General features: G+C 36.3%; 1 protein-coding gene across 11 annotated transcripts in view; it reads left to right on the top strand.

The window, feature by feature from the left end:
* Positions 1-12094, top strand: part of LRBA (LPS responsive beige-like anchor protein) — a 751293-nt gene that overhangs the window by 664693 nt on the left and 74506 nt on the right. For all 11 annotated transcript variants that reach the window (XM_047416462.1, NM_001367550.1, NM_006726.5 and 8 more), the window contains one exon: positions 876-1043. In XM_047416462.1, coding sequence (XP_047272418.1) covers positions 876-1043 — 168 coding nt within the window. The remainder of the gene's footprint in view (positions 1-875; positions 1044-12094) is intronic.

Here is a 12094-nt window from a genome sequence, read left to right as displayed (position 1 = left end):
CAGGTTTGATATTAATACCTAGAATAAAAATTCAGTAATTATAGGTATCCCCCACAAAATCTAATTTGTTAGCATAAGAACTCAATCAACATAACTAAATAATTTGGTTAAACATGTTGAAATAGACTACAAAATATTTTAATTCTAGAAAAATAATAAATATTTCAAGTGGATGGTAAATTTTTAACATTTTCACATTTAGTTTCCCAAAATAGTCTTTGCCTTGTATGGCTTCCTTTCTTTGAAGCATAAATCGAGTACCTGTCAGGCCCTGAGTTACAAATGTGACCAAGATAGGCCCAGTCCTGGTCCTCAGTGCTGTCAGTACGGTAGAAAAATACTGAAACTTACACATTTATTGTAATTAATTATGCCAAGTGCCGGAAAGCCTCTAATTATAAACCAAGGAGGACAGATTCTGGTAGAAACTAGGACATCAGATAAGTTTCTTTCTTTTTTTTTTTTTTGAGATGGAGTTTCGCTCTTTTCCAGGCTGGAGTGAAGTGGCGTGATCTCGGTTCACTGCAACCTCTGCCTCCCAGGTTCAAGCGATTCTCCTGCCTCAGCCTCCTGAATAGCTGGGATTACAGGCGCAGGCCACCACACCCAGCTAATTTTTGTATTTTTAGTAGAGACCGGGTTTCGCCATGTTGGCCAAGCTGGTCTCAAACTCCTGACCTCATGGTCTGCCCACCTCGGCCTCCCAGAGTGCTGGGATTATAGGCGTGAGCCACTGCGCCCGGCCACAAGTTTTGTTTTTTAAAAATCTTTGTTCACAGTAAAGTTAGTGTTAAACTTTACTGATTGCTCTAAATGTCTCTCTATATTTTTAAAAAGGAATTCAGCATAGTAATACAATGTATACCTTTTTTCAGGCCCTGGAGAGTGAATTTGTTTCCTGCCAGCTTCACCAATGGATTGATCTCATTTTTGGCTATAAACAGCAAGGACCAGAAGCTGTCCGAGCCCTCAATGTGTTCTATTACTTGACCTATGAAGGAGCTGTCAATCTGAATTCAATAACTGATCCTGTGTTGAGAGAGGTAAGTTATCTGAATTGAGAAAGCAACTTATAGTCAGGTATATTTAAACTAGAAGGAGCTAGAGAACACCTCCCCCATCCTTTGATTTTAGTGATGAAGAAAGTGAAACTAGATGTAAAGTGCCTTAAGCAGAATAATTTATCAGTGACCTAGCAAGAACTTGAACCCAGAGGTTCCTTCCAACAAAATGTTTGACCCAATATAAGATGACGGCTTTTTCTATTTGAACCTGTTAAGGTATAAATAATCTTATTTATAATTTTATATAACTTTGGGGGTTACTCATGATTTTTGTAGGAAAATAGTAATAATTCATTAAAGAGATATGATTATGAGCATAAATTTATTGAAATGTGATAAAACACATATTTATATGTAATACCTAAGAACATATATAACCACATAGAAGTTAATGGGGGGGTTGAAGTCCAAATCTTTCCTATGTGATCAAATTGTTGTTAGATGTTATTGAACTTGTTTTATTCTTGTCATTTATTTTCTCAAGTAAAACACTTAAAACATGATTTTGGCAAATGCAGCACTCACCAAAAAGTCTGTAGAAGACCTTACTTTTTTTAGTATTTCTAATCTAATTATGCATCCTTCTAATTCCAATATACTTCATATGAAAAATTATAGAATTGAATGATACAACCTTAATCTGTACAATTTTAGAACACAACTGCGTTTAGGAAACCAGGAGCTTTGATTCATGGGGCAAGTTATATATCACTTTGAAGGGAACATTATTTGTAATGTGTGAGATTTGCCATTTTTCCCTAGCACTTGATGCATTCTTTTATAGTTCTACTAAGATCTGATCATGCGGAAGGTATGTAAGTACATATTTAAATAAATTGGCATATTATCACCTGGCTTATGTGCTAGATAAGTTAGCATGCACACAAAAGCACTGTGTACTAGATGTACACTTGCATTAAATTGCCCAAGTTTTAAATTGCTATGTTTCAGTTTTAAAAACTGTGGTAGCAGAGAATTGGGTCACATAAACTCTTAAAGACTCTTCCAGTTGTTCAGTTTTTTGAAAATACTCCTTCTGGGGGTATTTTATTTGATCAGAACATCAATTGACTGTATGACACAGAATATACATAGGATTCCATAAAGGTATTGAGGTGAGAGCAACATACAGGTAGTGTTACAAAACACTGCATAGTTTTATTGTTGGGATAAAATAGCATAGGCCTATTTACTTTCTTTTTTTTGTTCATTTTGGCAATATTTGAACGTAATACTTTATTCTGTTAAATGCCCATAATTCTTCAACAAATATACCAGCTATTTTTGTTTTCTCCTGTTATCCTGTAGTAATTATCCATATCTCTACATAGCTGATATATAACTGAATTCTCACTGTAGAACTGATTTTATAATTTCTTAAAAAGAGATTGGTTGTATTTAATATACCAGCATATTGTTTTTTGTACCAGCATAAATTGGTTGTACTTACTATGCCAGTATATATTTTTTGTGTCACTATATGCAATCTCCGTATTTCTAATTTTGAAATTCTGTAATGTTCTATAGAGTTGCTGTGAAAATATGCTTAACACTGTTTCTCTCAATGCAAGATCCTATTACTTAAAAGACTTGTCTCTTGGTATGTCCAAGATGACATAAGTAGCTCTACTTTTCATTAAAGGTTACGCAATGTTTTCATGATTAAAAATGTCACTTGGCCTATATCTGTTTGTCATGGCTAGTTAACAAGTAGTACACTCAATCAGCTAGTTATTTCCTCTATGAGTCACTCTATGTGCTTGGCTTTTTATTTTTATTCTGGATTGACCACTGTCCCCACTTACACACCAATGATTGTTTAAGGAAGTTTACTGTGCGTTAATCTAGAAGAACACTGTCTAGAATTTTCTGCAGTGCTGGAAATGTTCTCTATCTGCACTGTCTAATAAACCATGAACCATATGTAGTTATTGTACATTGAAATGTGGCTAGTGTGACTAAGGAACTAAATGCTTAATTTTAATTAATATAAATTTAAATAGGCACAGATGACTAGAGGCTACAGCATTGTACAGCAGAGAGTTAGAAGACTTATGTTTGTCTTTGACCATCTTTTCTTACTCTGAGTTCAGCATATGTGATCAGACAATGGAAAAATAAATGTTAAATTGACTTGGTAGGATATTTCAAAGTGGGAATACTCCATGTAGACATTAGATATATATTTGAATATAGGTGTAAGCTCAATTATATTTTTTCTTTCACCTAAACTAACACATTATAATTTCAAATAAAATTGTTTATTGTGATAAATATATATAACATAAAATTGAACATTTTTACCTTTGTTTTTTTTTTTTTTTTGAGACAGAGTCTCGCTCTTTCACCCAGGCTGGAGTGCAGTTGCGCAAGCTCAGCTCATTACAACCTCCGCCTCCTGGGTTCAAGTGATTCTCCTGCCTCAGCCTCCTGAGTAGCTGGAATTACAGGTGCCTGCCACCACGCCTGGCTAATTTTTGTATTTTTAGTAGAGATGGGGTCTCACCATGTTGCCCAGGCTGGTCTCAAACTCCTGAACTCAAGTGATCCGCCTCCCTTGGCCTCCCAAAGTGCTGGGATTACAGACCTGAGCCACTGCCCCTGGCCATTTTTACCATTTTTGAGTTTACAGTTCAGTGGCATCAAGAACATTGACATTCTTGTACAGCCATCACCACCATCCATCTCTAGAAATGTTTCATCTTCCCAAACTGAAACTCTCTAAGCATTAAACAATAACTCCTCATTCCTTCCTCCCCAGTCCCTGTACAATTACAATGCTACTTTTTATCTCTATAAATTTGACTACCCTGAATACCTCATAGAAGTGGAATGCTGCAACATTTGTCTTTTTATGTCTAGCTTATTTTACTTAGCGTAATATCTTCAAGATTTGTCCATGCTATAGAATGTATCACAATTTCCTTTCTCTTTAGGCTGAGTAATATTCCATTGTGTATATATATATACCACATTTTGTTTATCCATTTATATATCAATGGGCATTTTGGGTTGTTTCCATCTTTTGGCTATTATGAACAATGTGGCCAAGAGTATGGATGTACACCATCTGTTCAAATGCCTGCTTTCAATTCTTTTGGATATACACCCAGAAATGGAATTTCTGGATTATGTGATAATTCCAAGTTTAACTTTTTGAAGAAGCATCATAACAAATAAGTGTTTTTTTTTTTTTTTTTTTTTTTTTTTTTTGAGACAGAGTCTCACATTGTTGCCAGGCTGGAGTGCAATGGTGTAATCTTGGCTCACTGCAACCTCCGCCTCCCAGGTTCAAGTGATTTTCCTGCCTCAGTCTCCTGGATAGCTGGGATTACAGGCATGCACCACCATGCCCGGCTAATTTTTGTATTTTTAGTAGAGACGGGTTTTACCATATTAGCCAGGCTGGTCTCGAACTCCTGACCTCATGATCTGCCAGCCTTGGCCCCCCACAGTGCTGGGATTACAGGCATGAGCCACCGCACCCGGCCACAGATAAGTTTTTAATATTTATTTTTTATGATCAACTTTTGCTAAAGACCGTTAAAACTTTTGCTTTAAGTTTGACTTCCTTTTCTTTACCACAATCCTAAGTAGTTAATTATGAGAAAATTAAGCCTTAACTGATAGTCTTCCACACATCACACCTTAATTTGTTTTTATATTATACATTATATAGACTTATATATAATATATATTCTGTATTAGATTTGGCATTTATTAAACATGGCCTGTGATATTCTAAGTATGGTAGGTATTTGATATTCTTGAAATGAGAATATATCGCTTTGTTACTTAGCACTATTAAAATAAATACACACATTTAATTTATAAAACTTTCTGAATATCATTAAAATAAATGGGGCCAGGCGCAGTGGCTTACACGTGTAATCCCAGCATTTTGGAAGGCCACGGCAGGAGGATCACTTGAGTCCAGGGGTTCAAGAGCAGCCTGGGCAACAAAGTGAGGCCCCATCTCCACAACAAATTTAAAAATTGTTTGGGTGTGGTGGTGTACACCTATAATTCCAGCTATTGGGTGCTGTGGGAGGTGGGAGGATTGCTTGAGCCCAGGAGGTCAAGGCTGCAGTGAGCCATGATTGTACCATGGCAATCCAGCCTGAGCAACAGAGTGAGACCCTGTCTCAAAAAAAAAGGTTGAGGGGAATAGTCTTTTATTATAGCCTTTTCATACCATTTACCAGTGCTAAATCCTATAGTATAATGCAGTTTGATATAATAGAATGAACAAAGAAACAAACAAATAAATAAATTTGAATTTGAGTCATGGCCCTGATGCCTACTAGTTGTGTTCCTCAGACTCTGTTTCCTATATATAGAAGTCATACGATAATGCCCACTCTACAGAGGATGAGATGACATATAATGCATGTAAACCGCCTGGCATGGTGCCTATCCCCTCATAAGTACTCAGCAAGTGTTAGTTCTTTCCCTTATGTTGCTCACAGTTAAATCCCTGGGTTAGAAAACACAGCTATAAAAGGAATATGAACTACTGATTAGATCATAGAAAGAATCATAAAACATTAACACTAGAGAAGTTATCAGAGACCATTTCCTAGTGGATGCATGCTGAGTTCATTGTTAAGTGAGGCAAGAAAGCAGAAAACATGAATAGGTCATTAATTTATTCATTTTTTCAACAACCTTTTACTAAACCCGAATCATGTAATAAGGTTAAAGGGTTGAAAGGCAAAGTCCCTGCCCTCCCTCAGCTAGAGTTCATTATCTAATGGGAAAATAAGTGTAACTAAACAATTATAATATAATCTGATAAATTCAGTACAGAGATAAATATATGTAAGTATGTATGCACAAGCATAGGATAGGTACTAAGCCCAAACTGACAGAATCCAGGCATGTTTTCCAGAGAATGAGAGGCTGGAGTTGCATATTGAAGGATGAATAAGATCATTGGGTAGAGTCATGAGCAGAAGTTACCTACACAGAGGCAACTGCATACCCTTCCTGCACATAGATAAAAGAGATGGCTAGAGAATATGGTATATGTGGAATGAAGTAAAGGTTAGCAGATGAGAGAGAGAGAGACACAGGAGCCAGATCTTAAACAGTCTTCAATACCATAAAACATAATTTTCAGCAGGGCATGGTGGCTCACACCTATAATTCCAGCACTTTTGGAGGCCAAGGCAAGAGAATGGCTTCAGGCTGGGAGTTCAAGACCAGCCTGGGCAACATAGCAAGACTTCATCTCTACAAAAAGATGAAAAACTTATCTGGGCATGGTGGCACATACATATAGCCCTAGCTGAGATGAGAGGATTGCTTGAGCCCAGGAGTTGGAGGCTGCATTGAGCTATGATCCTGCCATTGCACTCCAGCCTGGGCGACAGAGTAAGACCCTATCTTTAAAAAATAATACTTTTAACTGCATCATAAGGCAGTAGGGAACCACTGAAGGTTGGTGACATAGCCCCATGTTACTAATATGTTTGTTTAGAATCTGAAAGAAGATTGAACAAATAAGAACTAAAAAGTACTGACTGGATTTTTCTAAGAGGTCATTGGTGATCTTAGAGAAATAGCTTAGAAAGTAGAGGATTGTGTTATGAATGGGAGATGTTGAAGTAAACACAGTAAATAAAGAAAATAATTTAAGCTTTATTGAGATATAGTTCACATATGTTACAATTCACCCATTTAAAGTTTATGATAGTTTTTAGTATATTCACAGAGTTGTACAAGCATCACCACAATTTAAGAGCATTTTTGTCACCACAAAAAGAAATCTTTATATGCGCCAGCAGTTGCTCTAAAGGATAATTTTTTTTTAATGAGTAAATATTGGACTATGTTTCTATATTAATGGGAAAGATCCAAAAGGAGGGAAGCATGTCAGACATGCAGGAGAGAAAGTGTGTAATACACTATCAAGCTCTGTGTGAAAGTGGAGAAGAACAAAACCCAGAGCATAGATAGAGATAAGCACTGAACAGGAGGGAACAATAGGGCCTCATCTCAGATTGGAGAGTAGACGGATAGCATGGGGACTTGTGTAAGTAAATGTGTATGAATGAGGTGGAAAGGCAACAAGATTCTGTTTATGAGGGTTTGTGCTAAGGATGAGATAATATTTATACTTAATGGGTGCTGCTCAATAATTATAATTTCCTTTCAATATTGTTTTTCTGTGTTTTCAACATCAGGAGAATAGGTGTAGAAAAAAGTTGAACAGAGAGGGATGTGTGTGTGTGCACGCCTGTGTGTTTGTGGAGAGAGAGACAGAAAGATAGACACAGGTGGGGTTTGCCATGGAAGTATGGTGAAATGTATGAAAAAGGATTGAAGGTGCAAGGGTGGCTGATGAAACTGTTAAAGGGATGTTGTAGAAAAGATGAAACGTGAACCTGGGCTGGATTGAGTAGATAAGAAAGGAAGGAAGGGAGTGATAAACTGGGAAAGTTTATCCTTTTATTCATTACTAATTCATTTATTCAACAAATATTCGTTTTGTTCAGGATGCTAAAAATGTGGAGATGAGCAAGACAGGCAAAGTCTGTTCCCTCCTGGAGCTCACATTCTAATGGGGCACACAGAAAATAAAATTTAAAGACTGTAATTTCAATTATAACAAGTGCTATAAAGAAAATAGAAGTGGGTAAGGTGATACAAAGTGCTGTGAGGGTGGAGAACTGTTAGAAGGGATGGTTAATGACTGCCTCTCTGTCTTCATAAACAGTGTTTCCTTTAAAACTTTAGGATCGGAGTACAGCTAAACAAGGGCACCAGGGAGTTAGCTCCTACTGCTCTCCCACAGCCAAGCATGTCCCTGCAGTGCCCAGCCTGGGACAGCCTCCAAGTCAAGTCTTGTCACAGGCTTCATGTCAGTTGTGAAACTTTCACTATTGCCTTCTACTAATTTACTCCCCACCCCCACCTCCAGGCCACGCCTCTCTTTTCTTCAGAATCTTGTTTCTCTAAGGTGCTTTAATATCATTAATATTAGCACATTTGTATATCTGCTTGATTTATATTAAAGCATTATTTCTGCAAAACCACAATCATGGTACAAGGATAGATTTGTACCTTTCCAGTATCAAAAGCAAATTAGACTAATTTCTGTTCAGTAGCTATACTTTTACTTATTTCTGTTCACTTCTATACACTTAATTCAGTCTGGAAATACGTTCCCAGTCATACAGAGGCAAGTTGTGTACATACAAGTCATGTAATCACCTACTATTTTGGGAAAAGCGCCATTCTTCTTGAGAAAGTTTCCATTTTATAATGAATGGTTAATACACATGGCATAGTAAGTGATCATAAAAATAATCTCTCTATAAAAAGAGCACTAAACGATAGAAATAATAACCATAAGAGGAGGAAGAGTAATCAGAGAAACAGCCTGCAGCACATTAAACTTTTATGTTGTTTTTAATTTTTAGAAAACAGCTGGGTTATCAATATACAACTATGTCTGCATTTACATATATCACACACCAGAAAGAATTCTTTTTCGGACAAATATGCTAATCTTTCAAAAAATATCTTGTGACCCCAACTTAAGAATATAGTCTTATCTTTATCTGTTTACTCTTCTTTATTTCTCTGTATTTTGGCACTATTCTTTTTTTCACTGCCTTTAACATTTTTTTAATCTATTCTAGTTCCTCAATATTACATATATTCTTTTATAGATAAGGGACAAATAAATAAAAGTTGGTCATTTTCTGATTATTCTGCTGATTTTGATTTGGCTCATTCATGTCTTTTCTTTCAAACACAATCTTATTAAGCCTTTCTAACCCCATTTTTGAAAAACGTAAAACCCAAGGAAAGAAGAAATTTTCAAAAAAGATAAAAATTAGAATATTTGAACTCAGGGTCAGATATGAGTAAGAATAACTATTTTTACGAATTAAAAAAATTCTCTTAAAATCGAAATCCACAAATTAAATACATGATGAATATTTTATAAAATAATTTTCCCTCTTCTAAAAGATTTAACATAAGTATTTTCCTTAAATTAATATATTTAAAGTATAATCATATCTATAGGCATGGTTTCTAGAACAATTCTATATCCTTATCCAGAATTCACCCATTAATTTTCATATAAATGCTATTTGCAATATACAAAGGTTGAAAGCTATCTAGACATTAGTATCTTAGTATGAAATAGTTCATTGATGAAGTTTAGTAGGTAAGAAATATATTTTTTTAAAAAATACACATATATGCATATGTCTGTGTGTATGTAAATAAATATATATATATTATATATATGGCAATGTGACAGTCACTGAATACGGGAGCACAAAGGAGACATTTCTAACCCAGGTTAAGAAAGTATCAACTGTCTGAACATAATCCTTAAGAAATTTGAGTTAAGTCAGTGAAGCAAAAGAAATGGAAGGGACATTCAAAGCGGAGAGTATGGCATGTGGAAAAGAGCACAGTATGGCTCTATGACTTGAAAAAATCGTGTGGTAGGAAGGGAGAGCATAAGAAGTTGGTGATAGGCCAGGCAAGGTGGCTCACACCTGTAATCCCAGCACTTTGGGAGGCTGAGGCAGGAGGACTGCTTGAGGGCAGGAGTTCAAGACCAGCCTGGGCAACATAGTGAGACCCTGTTCCTAAAAAAATTAAAATACAAATAATTAGCCAGGCGTGGTGGTATGCGCCTGTAGTTCCAGCTTCTCAGGAGGCTGAGGAATGAGAATTGTTTGAACTGGGGAGGCAGAGGTTGCAGTGAGTTCAGATCACACCACTGCACTCTAGCCTGGGTGACAAAGCAAGACTCTGTCTCAAAAGAGCAGCTAGGCTGGTGAGATCTCTAAAACATATTTGGAAACCATTCATATCTGTTCATCATTAGTTCAAGCCGCCACCATACTCTCCCCACTGGACTAACGCTAGTAGACCAGGTCACCTTTTTCTGTCCCTGCCTACCTACAGTCCACTTTCCACCGAGCTGCCAAAGTGGTATTTGAAACTGTAAGTCAGATCATTTCACTTCCTTCTTAAACTTTCCTATTTCACATCAAACATAGAATAAAATCTGCTTGACTCACATGATCTGGCCCTGCATACCTCCCTGATCTCATGTCGTCTGTTCTCTTCCTCATCGATGTGTCCTGTCACACTGACATTTCTGTTCCTGATTACATGAAGGGGAAGGCCTTTGTAAGTCTAATATCAAAGCTAAAAATCCTTAAGGAAATTAATATATTCACGTATAAACACTACATGAAAAGGATGTTTCTGTACATCTAAAGCAACAACAAATAACAAAGTACAGGAATAGAAAACTCATGAAAGATGAAATGCAAGTCACATATGAAAAGCACTTTAAGCTGGGCACAGTGGTTCACACCTGTAATTCCAATGCTTTGGGAGGCCAAGGTGGGAGGATCGCTTAGGCCCAGGAGTTTGAGACCAGCCTGGGCAAAGAGCAGGACCCAGTAAGAGAAGTAGTTCATCCTCACTATTAATCAATGACATTAAATTGAACACACAATAACATTTGTGTCCACTAGATTATCTAAGATTAAAAATAATAAAAATTTTAATGTTGGTGCAGTATGAGAAAACAGATACTGTCATATATTTGGTGAGGATGAAAATAGGTTGAATCTTTATAGCAATCTGTATCAATTATTAAAATGTTCATGTACTATTTACTTAGAACTCTAACCAAAAGTAATAATTGACCAAGTGTGAAAAAAATATTCAGTTATATAGTTCATATGTATTAGTCTGTTCTCATGCTGCTATGAGGACATACCCGAGACTGGGTAATTCTAAAGGAAAGAGGTTTAATTGACTCAGTTCCACATGGCTAGGGAGGCCTCAGGGAACTTACAGCCATGGTGAAAGGGGAAGCAAACATATCCTTCTTTGCAAGGCGGCAGGAGAGAGAAGAATGAGAGCTGAGCGAAGGAGGATGCCCGTTATAAAACCATCAGATCTCGTGAGAACTTACCATCACAAGAATAGTATGGGGGAAACCACCACCATGATTCAGTTACCTCCGACGGGGTCCTTCTCACGATGTGGGGATTGTGGGAACTACAATTCAAGATGAGATTTGGGTAGGGACGCAGCCAAACCGTATTATCATAATAGCAAAAAAAAAAAAAAAGGAAAAGGAGCAACGTAAATTTCCAGTAGAGAAGTAGTTAATTAAATATTGGTAAATTTACACAGTAGAATACTGTGTATCATCAAAAATGTTGCTGTGTAAATCTATATGTATTACCATGGAAGAATATTTTGCCATATTACAGTGAATAATAGACAATGTTATGGAACATATAAAATACAAATGCATGAGGAAAAGTCTGGAATTATGGACCCCAAAATGTTCATGGTCATTATCTTTGGTTAATGAGATCATGGAATTCTTTAATTTGCCTCTTTCTATATTCTAAAAAATTATGTCTCTTGAAAATCAGAGAGAGAAAAAAAGCCAAACACAACTCTTTCTCCCTTTTCAGGGGGAAAGAATCTGCTTCTTGAAAATTTGAACAAGCAATGTATGTTAACATGAGGATATGAATACTGACTTCGTTTTTGGCTGTTCAGAGGTCTTTTGTAATTGCGTTCTGGGTTTTGGCCATGTTCTTTCTCAACATTCAATGTTGTTAGGGTACTGACCGTCTATAATGATCTTCGTGTAACTTTGACAGGAATGAAGGAATTTACAATTTCTTAACTTTTATCTCACTCAGAAATCAGAGTACCTCCAATCTCTTAATTTTCTATATATGTTATTTAATCCACTGAGCTATGGGAGTTTTCATACTTTTTAACATTTGAGTTTATTTCTTCATTTTTCCCATCATATTTGAGGGAGAGCACAAAGAACACTTCTACTTTCAGGGAAAATATCTTAGGTGTATCGCTGTTAATTGTAGTTTTTGTCATTATCTAAAAGCAAGAAGGCTTTTGGCTTAAGATTCCTGAATTCTAGAACTCTGGGTTCACTACTTGTGTGTGTGTGTGTGTGTGTGTGTGTGTATAATTAAATAGTTATACAAAGTGCT

Source organism: Homo sapiens, chromosome 4 (genome assembly GCF_000001405.40).
Source record: "Homo sapiens chromosome 4, GRCh38.p14 Primary Assembly".
Lineage (NCBI taxonomy): Eukaryota > Metazoa > Chordata > Mammalia > Primates > Hominidae > Homo > Homo sapiens.
Note: the sequence above shows the minus strand (reverse complement) of the source record. Positions and strands in the feature narration are given on the sequence as shown.